Here is a 22271-nt window from a genome sequence, read left to right as displayed (position 1 = left end):
GGGGGCCATTTTCCTGAGTGAAATGACTAAGAAATAGAAAGTCAAAAACCACATATTCTCACTCATAAGTGGGAGATAAAAAATGAGTTAGACATGGACATACAGAAAGGAATAATAGACATTGGATACTCCAAAAAGTTGGAGTGTAGAAGTGGGGTGAGGGATGAAATACTACCTGTTGGGTACAATGTACACTGTTTGGGTGATGGGTAACACTAAAAACCCAGACTTCACTGCTACTCAACATATTCATGTAACACAACTGCACTTGTACCCCCTAAATCTATAAAAATCAATAAATCAGTAGACTTTGTGTAAAGCAGATTACCCTCCATAATGTGGGTGGACCACATCCAATCAGCTGAAGGCCTCAAGAGAAAAAGACTGAGATCCCCTGACAAAGTAGCAATTCTGTCTCCAAACTGCCTTTGGACTTTAGACAGCAACGTCATCTCTTCCCTGGGTCTCTACCCTGCCAGCCTGCCCTGCAGATTCCAGACTTGCTAGTTTCCACAACTGAGTGGGCTAATTCCTTAATACAAATATAATCACGTGCCACAAACAATGTCTTGGTCAAGGACGGATGGCATATACAACAGTGGTTACATAGTATTTTAATGCTGTATCTTTCTGTACCTTTTTAATGTTCAGATATATTTAAACACATAATTACTTAACATCGTGTTTCAATTGCCTGAAGTATTCAGTACTGTAACACTGCACATGTTTTATCCTAAGAGCAATAGGCTATAAAATATAGCCTAGCATGTAGTAGGCTATACCATCTAAGTTTGTGTAAGTATGCTATGATGTTTGCACAGTGACGAAATCGCCTAAGGATGTATTTCTCAGAATGTTTCCTAGTTGTTGAGTGACAGGAGTGTACATACACACACACAAATATCATTTTGGCTATATTTTCCTGGAGATCCCGAACTAATAACAACCACCTACTAATGTACCAGGCACAGTGCTAGGCTCTGGGAATATTTAGAAGAGACCTCTGTGCAAAGAAATTTGCACAATATGGCAAAATGTGACAAAACACATTGACAAAGGTAGGTCAAGGCGGGAAAATAAAGCCACAAGAAAAGCATCCGGGGCATTTCATGATGTCCTTTACACATGATGATAACTAAGGACACTCAGACATTTATCTGCAAGTGGGAAATTTATTTAATTTAGAAGGAGAAACCTTGCAAAAATAGAGGTAAAAATAGACTCCCCTCTTTACTTTAGACTATCCTGTTTGTTACATCTACTCAATAAATTAATTCAATAAACATTTATTGAATCTTAGCTTTGTGCACAGTGTGTAATGACATAGTTGTGATGATATAAGAAACCTCAGATTTGCCAGCGTTTCCCCCTAAACTTGGCTTAATCTCTGGAACCCAAGCTAGGGTTGGAAAAATTACTTGGTATAGCTGTGGAGTGAAAACGGGCACACAGATGCTCCTGCTGAGACCACCTGTATCTCTGACAACTTTATTTGGGCCAAATTAGTTGAATATATGGGCTGGTGGCAGTTACCTGTCCCCTGTCTTCTACCTCCTGGTTTCCAGGATTGCCTACTCAGTTTTCAGGCTCTATCAGTACTTAGTTTGCATTCATCAACCATTTAAAAGGCCAGCCCTGGGTATTTCAGGGAAGGATCATGTCCTTAAAATGTAGTGAATTCCACTTATTCCCAAGGATGCAAGCTCTTCTCTGACTCCCTGCACTGAAGTCATTTAGAGTCTTTTGAGAGTTAAGACTAATTAAAGCTCATAGAGTACTTGGAGAGCCGTGCATGACAGCACATGAATATTTTCAAAGCGGTGTCTTATGCCTAGTATCTGGGCCAGGACCAGGCCTATAGAATTTAATTGAATGTGTATCCCTGGTTAAAGGTGGAGCTCCCCAGTAGCAGAGTCTTTGTCCCATTCTGCTGTGTATCCATATAAGTTTGAGCCCTACTTTCTCTGCACAGATCTTTAAGGTAGATGTTCGTCAGGGCTTTTTCCCGGAACTCTTTCACTCTCTGCACAAACTCATCCTTGCATAATTCTACGTTCTATCCCAAATCTGTCTTCCAAGCTCCAAGCCCATATATATATATAACTGTTTAGACATATTTTCCTGGCTATTCACAGATATTTCAAACTCAGCATGTCCAAAACCGAACTCATTTTCTACACACGCACATGCACACACATACACACAAATTGGTCCTATTCCATGCTTCCCCATCTCAGCAAATGGCATTACCATCCTCCCTGTTGCTCAAGCTGAAAGAGTCACCTTCGACTCCTCTTTTTCCTTCCCTTCCCACAAAGGTTCAGTCATTCACCTTAATCCGTCCATTTACCAACTCAGAAACTTAAATCCCAAACATAAAATAAAACTTAAACTTAAAACATAAAAAAATAGAATAGTACAATGAAACTCCTCCCATGTACCAATTGCTCAGCTTCAAATTTACCAATTCATAGACAGTCTCATTTCCAACAATCCTCACTTCTCACCCTCAATCATTGTGAAACAAATACCAGAAATAATCTCATTTCATCTGTATTTCATTAAGTATCTCTTAAAAGTAAGTTATGAAAACATCCAAAATCCCATTATCACACCAACAAAATTGACAATAATATAATATAATCGAATATCCAGACAATGTTCATATTTCCCCATTGTTTCATAAATGGATTTGCTTCCTTACATTTGAGTATCCAAATAAAGTCCCTACATTGTGATTGGATGATAAATCTCTTAAGTCATTGTATTTTTTAAGTTTTATTTTGTTTTTAAATTGACTCATAATTGTACATACTTAGAGGGTACAGTGGGATGTTTCCATACATATATAAATTGTGTAATGATCAAATCCTGGTAATTAACATATCCATCACCTCAAACACTTATCATTTCTTTGTGGTAAGACATTCAAATTCCTCTATTCTAGCTATTTTGAACTATACAAAATATTACTTTTGACTGCAGTCACCCTACTGTGCAGTAGAACACCAGAACTTATTCCTCCTCTCTAACTATAACTTTGTATCCATTGACCAACTTCTCTCCATCATTCCCAGCCCCCTTCCCACTCTTCTTAGCCCCTAGAAACCATTATTTTACTCTCTACTTCTGTGAGATCAACTTCTTTTAGATTTCACACATGAGATCATGTGGTATTTATTCTGTGTTTGACTTTTCTCACTTAACATAATGTCATCTAGGCTTATCCATGTTGTTGCAAATGAGAAGATTTTGTTCTTTTTATGGCTGAGTAGCATTTCTCCATGTACATATGTACCACATTTTATTTATCCATCCATCCAATGATGGACACTTAGGTTGACTTCATATCTTGGCTATTGTGAATAGTGCTGCAATAAATCTGGGATCACAGATATCTCTTCAACATCATTTCATTTCCTTTGGATATTTCATATTCCTTTGGAATTGCCAGATCATGAAGTAGTTCTATTTCTAATTTTTTGAGGCATCTCCATACTGTTGTTCATAATGGCTTTAATCTGTAGCTTCTCCTCAATCTCTCTTTTTTCTCCCTGAAATATTTGTGGAAAAAACTGGATCATTTTGTCTTGTAAGTTTCCCACAGTTTTGATTTGTTGGTTGGTGTTGGCATTGGTATTGGTTGGTGCTGGTATTGTAAAGCTTTGGCAGTTAGATCTAGAGACTTAATCATATTCCATTTCTCTCTCTCTCTTTCTCTCCCTCTTCCTCTCTGCCTCCCTCCTTCTCTCCCCCTTTCCCTCTCCCCCTTCCACCGCCTCTTCCCCTTCCCCTCTTTCTGCAAAACTATTTAATCACGTAGTGTTTTATTCTTCCATCATTATTGATGTACAAAATGTCTGCAATGTCTGCTTGATCTTCTTTCTGAAATACTAGCAGCTGTTGATATCTATTACCTCAATCTATTACTTCACTGGGAGTTGCAAATGTTGATTCTGTAATTCTGTCTTTTCTTATGCATACTGTACTTGAATACTTTATTTAGGAGAAACATCCCTTCATTAATTTTTATGGTTATCCTGAGTTATAGTTCATTTAGGAAAGGCAGAATGAATGCTTGATTCCACTATCCTTTTTTTAACAAATTTAAAAAATAATTATTTCCCTGGCATCCTCCAAAAGTGACCTGTGAAAGGTTTTTTTGTGTGTAGGTTACCATTATGGATTCATGAAGTTCCAAATATTTTACAAATTTCATTGAATGCAGTTATCGTTATTGGTGTTCAGGCCATCACTTATTTGGGCAGTGGGAACCTATTCAGAATGACTTCTGAGTCCCTTTGCTGTGTTTTTTTTTAACAGTGTTACTGAGATATAACTGACTTATAGTAAACTGAACATATTTAAATTGTACAATTTAATAAGTTTAGGCAAGTATGTACAAGCATGAAAGCATCACCACAATGAAGATAATGAACATGTCCATTATCTGCAAAAGTTCCCTCATATTCCTTTGTAATACCTTCTCTCACTCTTCTCTGCCACCCCCCATCCTTGGACAATAACAAATCTGTTTTCTGTCACTATAGATAAATTTTAATTTGCTAGAATTCCATGGAAATGGAAACATAAAATACATGTGCTTTTCTACATAATTAAAAAATAATTATGCTTTTTACTCAGCATAATTATTTTGATACTCATTCATGATGCTGCCTGTACCAATAGCCCTGTATGACAAAGGTCCCCAACCCCCAGGACCGGTTGGGGACTGCTGACATATGAGATATGTCAGCAGTCCCCAACCTTTTGGGCACCAGGGACTGGTTTTGTGGAAGACAATTTTTCCATAGAAGGGGCCGGGGTGGGAGGTGTGGGGCGAGGGATGCTTACAGGATGAAACTATTCCACCTCAGATCATCAGGCATTAGTTAGATTCTCAAAAGGAGCGTGCAACCTAGATTTTTTGCATGTGCAATTTTCAATAGGATTTGTGATCCTATGAGAATCTAATGCCACCACTCATCTGACAGGAGGCAGAACTCAGGTGCTCACATGCCCGCTGCTCACCTCCTGCTGTGCGGCCCAGTTCCTAACAGGCCACAGACAGGTACGGGTCTTTGTCCTGGGAGTTGGAGACCCCTGAGATATGTGATATGCGAATATTTTCTCTCAGTCTAGAGCTTATCTTTCCATTCTCATAAGAATATCATTCAAAAAGGAAGTTTTAATTTAGATGATGTCCAATTTCTTCATTTTTTTCTTTCATGCTTCAAGTTTCTGGTGTTGTATCTAAATCTCTGCTTAATCTAAGAGGACAAAGATTTTCTCCTAATTTTTCTACTGGAAATTTTAAAGTCTCAGGCTTATATTTACATTTACAATATATTTTGAGTTAATTTTTGTACATAGTGTGAAGTATAGATCAAAGTTCATCATTTGTTTATTTTGCATATTGAATGTCCAATTGTTTCAGCACCATTTGTTTAAGACAATTCTTTCTCTACTGGACTACCACTGCAGCTTTGTCAAAAATCAGTTGACTATATATATGTGGCTCTATTTCTGGACTCTATTCTGTTTCATTCATACTTTTGTCTGTCTTTACACTCTCTTGATTGCTGTAGCTTCACAATAAGTCTTGAAGTAGGTCCTGTACGTCTTACAGCTTTTTCTTTTTCTAAGTTGTTTGGGCTATGCTAGGTCCTTTGGATTTTCATATACATGTTCAAATTGCACTGAGTTTATGATCATCAATTGGGGGAAAATTGATATCATAAAGATATCTTTCCATTTATTTAAGCCTTCTTTAATTTTCTCAGCAATTAACTTTGCCATGCAAAGCGACTGCACATCTTTTGTCAGATTTATTCCTGTTTTATATATTTGATGTTATCATATGACATTTTTATTTCAGTTTCCAATTGTTTGTTGCTAGTTTACAGAAATGCAACTAATTTTTGTATATCGACCTTGTATCATCCAGCATTACTAAACTCACTTATTAGTTCTAGTAGTTTTTTTGTAGATTTCATGCTATATTTTATATAGATCATGTTATCTGTGAATAAAGACTTGTTTTGCATCTTCCTTTTGAATATGGATGCCTTTTTTGCACTGGCTAGAACCTGTAGCACAATGTTGAATAGAAGTGTAAATGTGGACATCTTTGCCTTGCCCCCAATCTTAGCAGGGAAAGCATTCAGGCTTCCACCAACAGACACGATGATATCTGTAGTATTTTCCATAGATGCCTTTTAGCAGGTTAAAGAAGTTCCCTTCTATTTCTAGTTTGCTTTGAGTTTTTATCACAGTAGAGGCTGGATTTTCTCAAATTCTTTTTCTGCATCTATTGAGATAATCATAGTTTTTTTTTTTTTTCTTTTTGGTCTGCTAATATGGTGAGTTACACTGACTAATTTTTAGATGTTAAACCGAACTACCATTCCTGGAATAAACTGAACTTGGTCATAATGTACCATCATTTCTATATATTGTTAGGTTCGATTTTGTGAATTTTTGTTAAGAAGTTTTGTATCTATATCCCTGAAAAATATTGGTCTGTAATGTAATGCTGGACTCACAGAGTGAGTTAGAAATTGATGCCTCATCTTCGATTTTCTGGGAGAATTTGTGTAGGATCAATATATTTATTCCTTAAATGTTTGGTAGAAATCACCAGTGAGGCCATCTAGCCCAGGAGTTTCCTTTATTGGAAGGTTTTTAACTGCAAATTCAATTTCTTTAATAGATAAGGGACTACTGGGATTTTCTACTTCTTCTTCAGTGAGATTTGGTAGTTTATGTCTTGCACGGGAATCACCAAAGATAAAGTCTTGCCACAGAAGGGCTTTTAAAAATTAGTTTTGCATCTCACTGTGGTTAGAAACAAAAAGAAAAGTAGATGAGTTTTGAAGTCATGAAATATGGAATTAGAGACAAAAATACTGGACCGCTCCTTCGCCTATGGCTTTGATTAAGCCCAAAAAGTTTAAACTGGAGTTTGAACTTTGCTTATGACATGCAGTGCTTTTTTTCTAGCATGATGCTTTTTAAAGTCCATTCCCACCAACCAAGTAGACTACTTGACTTGTTTCTATTTTCTGCCTATGAGAAGGGATTAGGGCTGTTTCTCCTAATTTTAGAAATGTAGGCATACGTGACAAGTTGGTCTGTCTTGTTCATGCTGCAAGCAAAATGAAAATTAACTTCTGAAAGGATTTACAGCTTAATATTGCAGCCAAAAAATAGGTAAAAGTAATATGTTGTTCTTTGCAAATGAAGACAGAGGTCCTGGTGTATTTGCTGGGTTTTGTACTTTGTAGGATTTTTTTTCCTTCTGATTTTTCCCCCTAGTCATGAGGGATGGATTTTCTATGAGGCACTCAATTTTCCTGGTTAGTCTTCTCCACATGTAATCTTTCCCCATCTGTGAGCAAGTTAAAACATCTTTTGCCTTATCAACACATGTAAGCCTTGTAGATAATTAACAAATAACAGAATTTGTTGTTTGAATCACAGATAAATAACAAATAGATCTTAAGTATAAGTATATCCCCAAATATTGCATGGAACATATACTAATTTGGGACATACTCATACTAAAAAGTTACTTGTGGTTTTTCTGAAATTCAAGCTTAATGTGCATCCTGTATTTTTATTTGCTAAATCTGAGTATTCCTCACATGCTCCCTATGACTAGCCTTGGGAAGTGTTGTTCTTTCATAGCTACTCAGTAAATTCTTACTAACAGAAGAAAAAGAGGCTTCTATTTTAAGAACATTATGGGCAACATTTAGTTTGCCTGTTTGTGTGTTAAATGTGGAAATGACCTGTATTTGTCTCCTATTCTGTCTCCTAATAGCTGCTACTACTGGAGAACTACACACATGAACTCACCATCTGTTTCAACTGGGCATTTTTAGACTGTGTCCCACTAGTCCAAAAGACAGAAATGGCACTGCCCTTAACCATTTGGACTTAATAACAGAGGAGACAATCTGCCAGGATATTTCTAACGGGACACAGTCTCTGTCCTGGAATCCCAACCCTTCCTATTTCTGTAGGCTTAAAAACAAAATTCTTAATCTCCCAACTAGAAACGTTAAAGGATTTTGTTTTCAACTTGTAATGATTTTCCTAAAGCTATCATGTTATAAATTAGCAGACAGGCTCTGTGCCAAGCCACTAAAGGCCATGACACTCACTGTATACTTAAGGTCTAGTAGCAAGAGTAAGCTCACACGATGTAGAAGGACATACAGTTTCTCCACGCATTGCGCAACTGAGGAAATTGAGGCCCAGCTCAATCACCTGAAATAATTTTGAGTATTTTTATTGGAAAACTATTGCCACAGTTTCTCTAAAGTAGTCAAAAAGGAAGGCTGTTAGAGTGAGCAACGAATACAACAGTGAAACATTAGCAGTGCTATTGTTGGAAAAGACAGAAAGTGAAATTTAAGAAAGGATGTGTGAATTGTGTGATATATGAGTTCTATCTCAGTAAAGTTTTTACAAAAAGGAAAAAGAACGGATGTGACTAGAATTTCGAGAGAAATGGATGAAACATGAAAGGTATTCCAGGAAAATGGAATAATAATAAATAGACTTCTATGACTAGAGGGGGTGACAGGTGGACTTGCAATGGTAGGTTGAGCCTAATTTTGAGTGCCCTTAAATATCATGCTTAAATTTTGAACTTTGTGGGTAATGGGGAGCTATCAAAGGCTTTTGAGTGAAGACAGAACAATCACATCCAAGTTTTAGAAGCATATCTTTTTATCTTCTCCAATGATACTTCTCACTTTCTCCTTTTGACTGCAGTTATCTCCTGTATCAAGCTTTTAGTTTCCTGAGTGCAAGGAACATGTTTTCTAAATATTTGTCTTTTTTCCATAGTGCCCAACACAGTGCCTTTATACATAGCAGGTGTGCATTAAAGATTGTCTAGCAAGCATACAGCAGGCACTCAATAAATACTTGCTGAGTAAATGAATAAATGTAATCATTGCAATGCTAGTTATAACTCTACTTTCCCCTCCTACTTTGGAAAGCATATAAGAAAGCAAATGAGTAGGAGTGACTCAATTACAGAAAGAAACATGAATCCCCTCTTAATTTTCTGAAAAATTAAGGGGAAGAATTTGTATTTTGACTATTATTACTAACAATTATTTTTGACACACATCATAACTGAATTTGTCACACAAGTGTGCCATGATGCTACTTGTAGGGTTTTCAGACAAAACAGATGACACTCAGTTAAATTTGAATTGCAGATAAATAACAAATATATCTTAAGTATAAGTATATCCCCAAATATTGCATGGAACATATACTAATTTGGGACATACTCATACTAAAAAGTTACTTGTGGTTTTTCTGAAATTCAAGCTTAATGTGCATCCTGTATTTTTATTTGCTAAATCTGAGTATTCCTCACATGCTCCCTATGACTAGCCTTGGGAAGTGTTGTTCTTTCATAGCTACTCAGTAAATTCTTACTAACAGAGGAAAAAGAGGCTTCTGTTTTAAGAACATTACGGGCAACATTTAGTTTGCCTGTTTGTGTGTTAAGCATTTACTTGTTGGATTTACTTTAAGGTCTAACTGGGTAGTACTATATCCCCTCAGGCCCTGGTTCATACTGGCTGGCTAGAGCTTTTCAAGTGAAACCTGGCATGCCTGTTCCTCTTTTACCCCTGATGCCATCAGTTGTTTTTATCTATGGTGTGAACACAGTTGAGCAGATGTTGGAGGGAAATGGCTTCCTGAAATATTCAGAAATGTCTGGTGTCAGCTTCTTCCTTAAAATAAAGTATAGGTGACAAGTCCCACATGGTAGGAAGCCAGCTCCCACAGATCACTTCCTTCTCTTCTCAGAGTCTTTCATTCATAAACTCATAGGGAGCTGTTCTTAAAAGGCAAATGCACATTAAACATGGGACAGAACCCAGCTTGGTTTAATGTGTGTTTGAATGTGTGTGTGTGTTTGTGTGTGTGTATGTGTGTGTGTGCCCGTGTGTGTGTATGTTCACATTTCAATGCAAAGGTTTTAGGTTTTGTTTTAGAATTGCTCAAAGTAAAGCCAGATTCTTTGTATTATTAGCAAGAAGTTCATAAACGTAGGGTGATGTTAAACGGGGCCTAGTTTAAGGGAAGAGCTCTAAGATTTTGAGCCAAACCTGGGTCTGAATTTATGCTGCTCCCTAGCTGACTGACCTTGGGAAGGCAAACTAACCCCTTGAAGCATCAGCTTTTTTATCTGTAAAATGATAATGGTAATAGTGCCTACCTCATGGTGGAGGTGGAACAGTTCAGTGAGATAACAGAAGTGAACTACTTAATTAGGCACATAACAGATGCTCACGGTAGCCATTATTGTGAATGTGGCCCCAGGATAGGTCTGATCTAGCCAAAGAGGCCTCAGAATTTCTGGACCCTGAGGCCACTGGCAGGGAATGAAGATTATATATATATATACCTCAGCATCTTGTATTATTTTTCTCTTTTAGATGTTTGGCTCTCTTCACTTTGTCACTTAACTAGCAAATGATACCAACTGTCTGAAACTCAGGATGTTTTTTTAATCTGGAAAATGGTCATATGAAAAATAATTCGTTTCAAAAGTAGTTATAAGAATTATATATGAAGGTTATTTAGAAAATGTACACACAGTACAAATAATATTGTGAAGTAAGTAGAGTAATATTGATAAAAAGTACCCCCAAATAGGCACCTGTCAACCCTCATCTTTTTTTTCCTGACTTTTTAAGTTTCAGGCCAATTCCTGGAACTAGTGGCAGCAGTTCCAATAAAAAACAACAACAAAAACAAAAAACAAAATGAAACAAAACAAAAAAACAAGAGTCACACAGTTGAAGGTATCTGGTTTCTTATCCCCACTCTGATACTTAACTTTCTATGTTGAAAAAGTCACTTAACAGCTGAGTTTTCATTTCCTCATCTTTAAAATGGGAATTAGTCATTGAATGAGAACCTATTAGGCATCCACATGCACAGTACTAGAGACTGTAATTGTAAATAATACCAGCTGACATAGATTGAGCGTATTCTCAATATACCAAGCACTTGACAAAGAGCATCATCTTATTTAACCTCACTAAACCCTATAAAGTAAAATATCCCTATTTTATAGTGCAGGAAATTGAGGCTTAAAGGATTTCCATTGATTTGTCTTATAGTGAACCCAAGATCTTCATCTCAAAGGAACCTAATGTCTAGGAGGGTAGGTGAAGATATAAATAAATCATTGTAATGTTGCATACGTGTCTATGTCTCTACACAGACACATACATCTAAAATATCTATTTCAGATTTGTGGTGGAAAATCAAATGAGATTTTATGTGAAAGACATTTTGAAGAAACCTGAAGTTATTAAAAGGGGATAGTTTCATTATGCTGTATGAAACCAGGAATGAGCAGCCATTTCAACAACCATTTACTGTGCTAATTCAAGACAAATTTATTATATTCCAAGGACTGTCTTGTTTTGCACTGTGCAGAGTATTAACAGAGCTAACGTCTTTACAGGACCACACCTTCTTTCTTCTGAGACATAGTCACAATCCTAAAACCGATGCATTTCTTTAACCCCGCCAGAGTCAATCATCCATTGATCCTACTACCTTTCTACTGCCCCTTGCCCACCGCCTGTGCTCAGTTCCTTCCACAGGAAACCTAGATCCTATGGTCCATAATCATAATCACTTCTTTCCATATACCCTTGACTCCCTTGCCCCTCTTTTCCTTTATCATCCTCACCTAGCAGACCCCAACCTTGATTAAATCCAACTCTTCCTCTAATCTTCATATGTATCCACGTGGCTGGACAAGTCTACCAAAAACCTCACAATATTGATAACTGATGTTCGTTTAAGTCCATGACCACCAAATTCAAGTGGGCCCTTAGAGCTGCCTTGCAGTCCTGCCACATTTCCCTAGTTCATGCCTTCTCCTTGCTCTCCTAACTGATCATGTCACACCTTATTTCTCCACAAACCTCCAGTAACTCCTTCATGTTCTTATTCTCAGTTGATAACCTTGATTCTTGTTTCACTGAGAGGAAAAAATAAGTATGTTGAAGAGAATGTCTGCATGCTTCCATTACCACATCAACTACCCTACCTGCATCTGTATCTATGTATTCTGCCTTCCCACCTGTCACTGTGGATGAACTTTCAATTCTCTTACCTAAGGGCATTCCATCAACTTCTGTATTAGATACCATCCTCTCTTGTACACTTAAAGTCATCCCCAACAATTCTTCCATCTCTCTCCTGTGTCAACACATATTCCCTCAAACTACTAATATATTTCAATATCTCCAATCTTAACAAAAAAATTAAACATACTTCTTACCCCATGTCCCTCTCTGGCTACAGTGCCATTTCTTCCATTCCCAATACCCCTTTAGATAATTGGCTATCCTGGACTACTCCAGTTCCTCACTTCCCACTCTGTATTGAACCCCTTGCAATCTGGCTTTTAGCCACACTAAGCCACTGAAATTTATCTGGTACAGATCACCACATTGCTAAATCCATTGGTATGTTTTCATATCTTGTCTTACTTGACCTGTCAACAATTTAAGTTTATCACTTTTTTTCCTCCTTGCTTTCCAGGACCCCTCTGGTTGTTGATTCTTTACTCATCTCACTGGCTACTCCCTCTCAGATTCCTTCTCAAGTACCTCCTCATGCTCTCTTAACACTGACATGCTTCAGTGCTTAATTCTAGGGTGTATTCTCTTCCCTTTATCTACCTCCACTCCCTTGGTAATCTCATCTACTTTGGAGGCTTTTTGTTTTTTTAGAGAGGGTCTCACTCTGTCACTCAGGCTGGGTGCAGTGGCACGATCAGCCTCAAACTCCTGGGCTCCAGTGATCCTCCTGCCTCAGCCTCCTGAGTAGCTGGGACTACAGGCACATGCCATCACACCTGTCTAATTTTTTTGTAGAGATGGGGTATCACCATGTTGCCCAGGCTGGTCTCGAACTCCTCGGCTCAAGCGATCCCCCTGCCTTGGCTTCCCAAGTGCTGGGATTACAAATTACAGACACAAGCCACCACACCTAACCCCTTGGCTTTATATAACAATGATAGCAGAGATGGTGATCTCCAGATAAACCATGTTCTCTCCTACTCTCCATGTTGTTAGGTTTTCCAGTATGTCTGGTTCTTTCTAAAGAGAATATGAACACAAGAGATGTATCACTTCCAGTAATGGGGAATTAAGAGCAGTTACTAGGATCTGAGATAGTGGAGTTGCTAGACAAAAGCAGCTTGGAAATCCAAGTCACCTTTGGAGAAGGCCACTAAGAGGAGCTGCTTGTGTCTTATTGGATTATGACTCTATAAATTGCCTTGGGCAGTATGGCCGTTTTCACGATATTGATTCTTCCTACCCATGAGCATGGAATATTCTTCCATTTGTTTGTATCCTCTTTTATTTCATTGAGCAGTGGTTTGTAGTTCTCCTTGAAGAGGTCCTTCACGTCCCTTGTAAGTTGGATTCCTGGGTATTTTATTCTCTTTGAAGCAATTGTGAATGGGAGTTCACTCATGATTTGTCTCTCTGTTTGTCTGTTATTGGTGTATAAGAATGCTTGTGATTTTTGTACATTGATTTTGTATCCTGAGACTTTGCTGAAGTTGCTTATCAGCTTAAGGAGATTTTGGGCTGAGACAATGGGGTTTTCTAGATATACAATCATGTCGTCTGCAAACAGGGACAATTTGACTTCCTCTTTTCCTAATTGAATACCATTTATTTCCTTCTCCTGCCTAATCGCCCTGGCCAGAACTTCCAACACTATGTTGAATAGGAGTGGTGAGAGAGGGCATCCCTGTCTTGTGCCAGTTTTCAAAGGGAATGCTTCCAGTTTTTGCCCATTCATTATGATACTGGCTGTGGGTTTGTCATAGATAGCTCTTATTATTTTGAGATACGTCCCATCAATACCTAATTTATTGAGAGTTTTTAGCATGAAGGGTTGTTGAATTTTGTCAAAGGCCTTTTCTGCATCTATTGAGATAAACATGTGGTTTTTGTCTTTGGTTCTGTTTATATGCTGGATTACATTTATTGATTTGCATATATTGAATCAGCCTTGCATCCCAGGGATGAAGCCCTCTTGATCATGGTGGATAACAAGGTAATTTATAGATTCAATGCCATCTCCATCAAGCTACCAATGACTTTCTTCACAGAATTGGAAAAAACTACTTTAAAGTTCATATGGAACCAAAAAAGAGCCCGCATCACCAAGTCAATCCTAAGCCAAAAGAACAAAGCTGGAGGCATCACGCTACCTGACTTCAAACTATACTACAAGGCTACAGTCACCAAAACAGCATGGTACTGGTACCAAAACAGAGATATAGATCAATGGAACAGAACGGAGCCCTCAGAAATAACGCCACATATCTACAACTATCTGATCTTTGACAAACCTGAGAAAAACAAGCAATGGGGAAAGGATTCCCTATTTAATAAATGGTGCTGGGAAAACTGGCTAGCCGTATGTAGAAAGCTGAAACTGGATCCCTTCCTTACACCTTATACGAAAATTAATTCAAGATGGATTAAAGACTGAAACATTAGACCTAAAACCATAAAAACCCTAGAAGAAAACCTAGGCACTACCATTCAGGATTATGACAAAAGTGAGAAATCAAACTTTGTGTGCTAAACCATTGCGATCTTAAGTTTGTTACCACAACGTAGTCAAGTCTATACTGACTAAGGCATCTTCCTTGAATTCCAGACTTCCATAGCCAGCTCCTCAACTCCTCCATTTGAATATCTTATACACATCTCAAAACCAGAATTCCTGACGCTTCCCAAGCAAGCTTCTCCAACAGTTTTCTCCATCTGAATAAATGGCAATTGCATCCTTGTAGTTGCCTAGTACAGAAACTTTGGAGTCATTCTTGACTTCTCCCTTTCAGTCACATCCCACATCCAATCCATCAGCAAATCCTAGCAGCTCTACCTTTAAAACATACCTAGAATCATTTTACTTCTGTCAGACTCTATAACTGCCTCTCTGTTATAAACATCCATCATCCTGCTGAACTACCGCAACAGCCTCCTAGGTGGCCTTTCTGCTTCTGTGCTTGCCCCACTACAGTTCACATGGCAGCTTGAGTAATCCTCCTTAAAAAGTAAATCAACTGGTGTCACTCATATGTTCCAAGCCCTTCAGTGGATTTCCAGGGGCAAAGCTCTTACATTGGTCTATGAAATCTTCTATGATCTGGCTCTTGCTCCAACTCTGGCTTTACCATGTATCCCATCCCCCTATTCACTGAACTCCAGGCTTCTGGCCTCCTTGCTGTAGCCAAAACATCAAGCATATTCTCTCATTTACTGCCTTTGCACTTGCTGTTCCCTTTGCCTAGAATACTCTTTCCTCAGATATTCACATAACTCATTCCTTCATCTTCTATAGCAGTGTTTCTGAAACATTATGTGCATCAGAATCACCTGAAGGGCTTGTTAAAACATAGATTTCTGAGCCCCACCCTAAAGTTTATGATTCAGTGGATCGTGGAGGAGACAAGAATTTACAACTCTAACAATTTCCCAGGACTGATGATTCTGGGCCAAGGACTGTGCTTTGAAAAACACTGTTTTCTGCTCAGAAGTCCCCTTATAAGCAAGGCCTTCTCTGACTTCCTTATATAAAATAACAACCTAACCCCAACACTTCCTACCCTCTTACCCAATTTAGTTTCCTCCATAATACAGATCAACTGACAAATATGTATGTAATATTCATTTACTGTTTGTCTTCCCTCTAAATTTTAAACACCATGAAAACAAGGACTTGGTTTCACTTATGGCTGTATGATACTGCCACTATCACCCATCTCTAACACAGTGCCTAGTACATAGTAGGCACTTAATAAATATTTGTTGAATGAATGGTGAGAATAAAATTATACACAGCCAGTCTTCTGTGACCTAAGCTTCTGGAGAAAATTGCTCACAAAGATAACTGGCCTTTGCAATCCAATCACTTCAGCTAAGCCTCTGTTACTTCCTATCTTGCTTCCTGGGTTACCTTTTGCATCATTGTCATCCTTGCCAACCCCCATGCAAGAAAGCACTGGTGATGCCTAGAAAAGCCTATTGGTTGGTGGTAGAGGCACTGTGATGTAACTCTTTATTTCAGGAGACCCAGGAGAAACGAAGAATCCCAAGTGATGCTGATCTCTAACACTTGTAACTCAATTGTTCTGAGAGCAATTATTTCACAGCCCTTCACTGAATATCTGCTGTGACAGGGCTGCAGAGAAGCATAAGACATGGTCCTGATCCCAGTCTGATGGCAGAATCAAATTGAGTAAAATACTGCAAAACTCCATCAGCAAAGGGAAGAGAGTAAGAACTGCTCCTGAAATTGCTGAGAGGGAGGCAGTGTATAAGGGTGTCTTCACCAAAAAGATGGTTGAGCTGGGTTTAAAAGAATGAATAGAAGTTTTGTTTGTGGTAAAGGGAGTAGGAAAACATTTTAGACATAGGAACCAGCATCAGCAAAAGGATAGATGTGTGGAGTAGAGATTATATTTAAAATATTTAGCAATATTTAGGGTTATGGTTTAGCAAACCCTAACCTTTAACCCTAATTGCTAAATATTTTTAGCATTTAAAAATAATTTTGGAGGCCGATGTGGGAGGATCACTTCAGGCCAGGAGTTCGAGATCAGCATGGCCAACATGGCAAAACCCCATCTCTACTAAAAATACAAAAATTAGCTGGGTGTGGTGGCAGGTGCCTGTAATCCCAGCTACTCAGGAAGCTGAGGCAGAGAATGGCTTGAACCTGGGAGGCGGAGGCTGCAGTGAGCCCAGGTCGCACCACTGCACTCCAGCCTGGGTGACAGAGTGATACTCCATCTCAAAAAAAAGTTAAGTGAGTGCAGTGATTCTCTGAAATGAGAAATAACTTGTAGTGGTGATCTGGGGGAAAAAAGTACAATCTTCCCTTTATTTACTAGGCATTTTTATTCAGTAACAATAAAACCATGAAAAATTCATTTCAATGTATAAAATGTGATTATGTTCTTGATTCAGATAATTACATATACAGACATCAACAAATCCAAATGGACATCCTGACCAAGCAAAGTGAACATCAGCTATAGACAAACTGGCATGATCATACCAGTGCACAGCACTTGATAAGGAGCTCCAGAGAGAGACCAGAATGTTGCAAAAAATGCTGAGTAGTCTAGTATAGCTAATGTTAATATAATAATAATAGCTGACACTTAGTGCATACTATAAGCCAGGTACTATGTTTTGCATGCTTAATCTTATTGAGTCCTCCAATCAAACTCTGTACAGTAGATACTGTTGCCATCCTCATTTTACAGATAGGAAAATTGGGTTTCAGAGAGATAAAGTCAGTTGCCTAAGTTCATCCAACTCGGAAATATTAGAGCTGGGATTTAAACCTGTACAGACTGACTCCAGAACTTATATTCCTAATTAAGGGATACTGCCTCAGATATTGGCTAGAACATAGTTTTGCCCCTTAACACTGTGGTTTTATACAAAGGAGTAAAATAAATTGACTTTTCCCTTATAAACGTTATGGTCTGGATGAGGAAACAAGACTCTCAGCTATGCAACCTTAGGAACATTGCAAAGACTCTCCCATAACAACATGAGACACTTACCCAGTGAATGGGACTTAGGGAGTATTGTGGTTCACCGAAGCTGAAGTGGTCATGGAAAATATAGAACTTGAATTTGGCCTTGAGAGGTACGGAACAGTAGGAAGAATATTGCATTATGTTCAGAAGTGTTAGAATCCACTTGTTAACAGTGTGACCCAAGCCAAAATAATCTTCTTCAGTGTTATCATCTGTAAAATGGGTGATTTGGATTAGACCAATACTTCTTAACAAAAGTACACCCCAGGAGGTATTTTGGAACTTGTGAGGCCATTTGTGATTGTCAAAATGATCAGGGAGTCAGGGACACTTACTAGGTGGCTGCCAGGAATGACAGGTGTTCTGAATACTATGCATCCTGAAGGATAGAGAAGACCTCTGGATATTCATGGAGATGAAAACTGTTTATAATTATTTAAGTCTAGAACATAACCACATTTTACATATTGAAATGAAGTTTTTCATGGTTTTCTTGTTACAAATAAAACTGCCCAGTAAATAAAGGGAAGATTGTACTTCCTGCCCCCCACCCACGATCATCACCATGAGTTGTTTATCATTTGAGAGAATCACTGCACTTACTAATAGCAACTGCATTCATGATACTTGAATCATCAATACTACATCCCAGTGTCATTCTGTGTCAGCAGCCTGTTACATTCATAATAATTCTCTATAGAGCTGTTGGCCTCTGACTACCACTTCATGACATCTTCTAATATAGCCATGTATGAGCTTTTATATATTGAAATACATATCTTTTTAATATAAATTACTTTTCTTCTTTTTTTTTCTTTGCAATACAGTTAGGGCATAATATGTGCTTTTAAAATTTTTGCTTAATTAGGAGATATACCTAATGCTAAATGACGAGTTAATGGGTGCAGCACACCAACATGGCACATGTATACATATGTAACAAACCTGCACGTTGTGCACATGTACCCTAAAACTTAAAGTATAATAATAATAAGATTTAAAAAAATTTTTTTGCTTACATTTTTATTATAACTTATTCCTATGAATTTATTTTTAGGATAGCAAGGGAGAGTAATAATTATAATAAAAATAATAAAGTACTGCTCGGATAGAGTTAAGAACCACTGTATTAGATGATCTCCCAAAGCCTTTCCAGTTTTAATTTTCTTGGGTATAAGATGGGCTTGATCTTGAGAGAAAAGGGAGAGCATTCCAAGGTGGAAATGACACCAGCCACATGGCCTGGTCAAGCAGGGGGTGGAGTGTCCCCAGACAAGCCAGGATAAGGCAGAGGCTTCTCAGGTCTAGTCTGGTCATGTTCCCTGGAAGCCTGCCTTCACTCCTCCCACCTCACTGTAATTGAAGACTCCTGGGGAAACTGCCAGGGCTGGCATTACAGGAAATTGCCTTGTGGCCAACAGGGCTTCTCTGGTTACTTTCCTCAGTGACAAAGGACAGTGATGATTTCCTGTTAGCTGAGTGTCTTTGCCTCCTTGTTCTGGCGAGTTCCTAAGAAACCTTAGCTTCTGATTCTTATGGTTTTGTTCAGCTCCTGCTATTGTTTTTTTTTTCCCTGTCTTATCCAGTTCCCTTGCTTCCAGCCTCTTTGCTCCATGCTTGAGGGGTCTGGAAATTTTTCATCTACTATAGACCAATTTTATGGAACACTCAAACAGACATTGTTTGGAAGTAGGCCATAGCTCCAAATAGATGCCATTTCAACTTTGGCAACACCTGTCAAGTTCTCTTCCTTGAAGGGGATGACTTTTATCACTTAATATTATGTATTATTTTGTATTCTTAATAATTATATGTGCTTGTTGAAGACTGCTTAGAAAACACAGAAATGTATGGAGAAGGAAATACAAATTATCCATAATACCAAGAAATATAGTACTCAACATTAGACAAGGGTGTAAGCATAGGTGAAGATAAAATTCAATGCTGCTCTCTCAGTTCTCTCTTGTATTCCAGCCCCTAGCTTCCTCCTGCCAGAGTACCTCTTGATCTCACCCTTATTAAAACTTGCCTGTCCTATATTCCATAAAATGGAAGGTAAACTGGAAAGTGTGCAATAACACTTACCATGTCAAGGGCTTATAAGAGAGATAAAATATAACGTATAAGGAAGGTGTTTGGAATCTAAAATAGTAATATTTTGTCATAGCTTTGCCATCTTTACCTTATTACCAAGGTGTTGTGATGATAAAGTGTTGTGGGAATGTCTAAAGAGATAAGAGACCATCTGAGAAATTCACAGTGCTCTCTAGGAATTAGGAAAAGGCACACAGTACACAGAGGCAAGAATGATTAAGTGTGAGGTCAGCTCATAAATATGCCTTTCTCTTTGGAAAAAACATCCAACATTAAACAAAAAAGTTGGATGGTACTAAATCCATCCCAGAGATAAAGTTCTTGTTACAGATAACAGTTAGAATTTATGTTTTCCTTTTTTCCCAAGGTGGATATGGTCAGAATGGCAGTTTTTCTCATTGTTGAGTCCTTGTATTGAGGTTCTGGTAGACAAAGGACTTAGAAAACACTAAGGCTTAAGGGTTAAGGTCAAGACTTTGGAGTTAGTCAGACCCGAGTTCAAATCCTAACTCCATTAATATAGTCACCAAAAATTCCTTGAGTGTCATCCATGGTTTCAGACATTGGAGATGCAGTGTTGGACAAAACAATGAAGTCCCTACTTACATGAAGCTTACATTCTAGTAGGAGTAAAGAGAATGTCTAACGATGAAAAGGTAATGAAATGATATGATTGGAAGTAACAGGAGACTCAGCAATGGCCTCTCTGAGAATGGACAATTGAACTGAGACCTGAGTGATGAAAAGAGGCCAGGATTTTTAAAAAATATCTAGGAGAAGAACATTGCAGAAAAAAGTAACAGCGAGGGCAGAGGCCCTGAGGCAGGAACAGGCTTGATGTTTTTAATGAACAGAATGAACGCCCTCCTGTGTGACTGAAGCAGAGTGAGCCAGAGAGAAAGGAGATGAGGTTGGTGAGGATCAGCACATGGCAGGTCATGTGGGGGCCTTGCAGAAATTCAGCTAGCAATCATCACGATCAATCAGAGGAGAGGCAAAAATGAAGTTAGAGAGCTTGGGGGGTACTGTAAAATACCAACTGAGGAATTTGGATCTGACTAACTGGGCATGGGAGTGCCACTGTAAGGTGTGAATTGTGTGCTGAAATGGAGTTTGAGGAGAACAATTCCGAGAGCAGAGTACAAGGTAGCCATTTTCATTTGTCACTACATATCTAGCACTTGAATTTCACTCAAGTTATCTGCTACAGCTACTTCTTTACCAATGAGTGCAAATCCATAAGTCACTGGACACCTGTTTTCACAGGAATATGTCTAGAGTCTATTTCCAGCCCCCAAGTAAAGATATTCTGTTGTATATTGTGCCTGGAATTTCTACCAGTGAGGAGGTGTCTAAAGCAAAGTTCCCAAACCGGCTATTTATTTGATAAGGTATAGACCTGAACTAAAAGGATGCTAGCTTAAGTTTAGTTTTTATTTCATTTGACTACTGACAACATCAGATAAGATCATTAAGCCGCAATAGATTTACTTGGTAAAGAAGCTAAGAGTTAGGTCTGCTGGGACAACATTGCTTCTTGGTTCACATGGTTTATTAACTTTTTCCTTTTTTTAATAGGGAGAGAAGTCTTATGGAAAGCCATGTGGGGGCCAGGACTGCAGTGGGAGCTGTCAGTGTTTTCCTGAGAAAGGAGCGAGAGTAAGTTGCTTATTTCATTGTTGAAAGACAAATAGTGGCATGGGAGCTGTTATCTGTTTTCTTTAGAAATAAACTGCTTAGAATTTACTCTTATGACCTCATGGAACAAGCAAAGTGATGAGGACCAGCTGGAAGGAGCTTTGCTAACTAATGATAGTCAGAGTTAGATTGGTCAAACTCTCTGAGGTACCAAGAAGAGGTTTCCTTCATTCACTTAATGCCAAGGTTTCCTCAGAGTTTCATCTGGAGTTTTTCCAAAAGCCAATTAGGTTGTAGAGAGCCAGATTGTGACAATGTTTGTAGATAAGTGTACATTTTCATAGCTCACTTGATTCTTCCCTCCCAGTCTGGGGAACAGGTGTTCCAATTGTTATCTACAGACTGTGGATGTGACTTGTCCAAAATCACCCTGCTTGTTAGTGATAGACTCAAGAGAACAAGGTAGCCATAAAGTCCAGAAATATAGGTGACGATACATAAAGAATGGTTTATAGGTATTAAATTACAACATAGGATACGTTTTAAAGTGTTGTGACACAGTCCGTGTATTGTCCCTCATTAGCAATGCACAGTTCAAATTGTTGTGCAAATTGCAATGAACTCAGTCATTGACACAACATTTCTATCAATCCCTGAATATGCATAGCCCCTAGATATTTGTATCTATGATTTTCACTGAAATAAATGCATTTTTATTATAACCCAGGAAAAGTGTTGAAAGGGGTTCAATCTGAAAAAAAAATTAGACACATACACAAGTTGAGCATCCCTAATTCAAAAATCTGAAATCTGAAATGTTTCAAAACCCAACATTTCCTGAGTACTGATGTGACACTCAGAGGAGATGCTCATTGGAGCATTTTGGATT

At 38.2% G+C, this 22271-nt stretch overlaps 1 protein-coding gene across 15 annotated transcripts in view; it reads left to right on the top strand.

Moving 5' to 3' along the window:
• The window catches only part of COL4A6 (collagen type IV alpha 6 chain), a 283845-nt gene that overhangs the window by 107308 nt on the left and 154266 nt on the right, over positions 1 to 22271 (top strand). For all 15 annotated transcript variants that reach the window (XR_001755650.2, XM_047441813.1, NM_001847.4 and 12 more), the window contains exon 3: positions 21323 to 21403. Coding sequence is in view for 14 of the 15 variants with exons in the window: in XM_047441813.1 (XP_047297769.1) it covers positions 21323 to 21403 (81 nt within the window). In the remaining variant the exon portion in view is untranslated. The remainder of the gene's footprint in view (positions 1 to 21322; positions 21404 to 22271) is intronic.

Source organism: Homo sapiens, chromosome X (genome assembly GCF_000001405.40).
Source record: "Homo sapiens chromosome X, GRCh38.p14 Primary Assembly".
Lineage (NCBI taxonomy): Eukaryota > Metazoa > Chordata > Mammalia > Primates > Hominidae > Homo > Homo sapiens.
The sequence above is the reverse complement of the archived record's forward strand: the minus strand, read 5'-3'. Positions and strand labels throughout refer to the sequence as shown.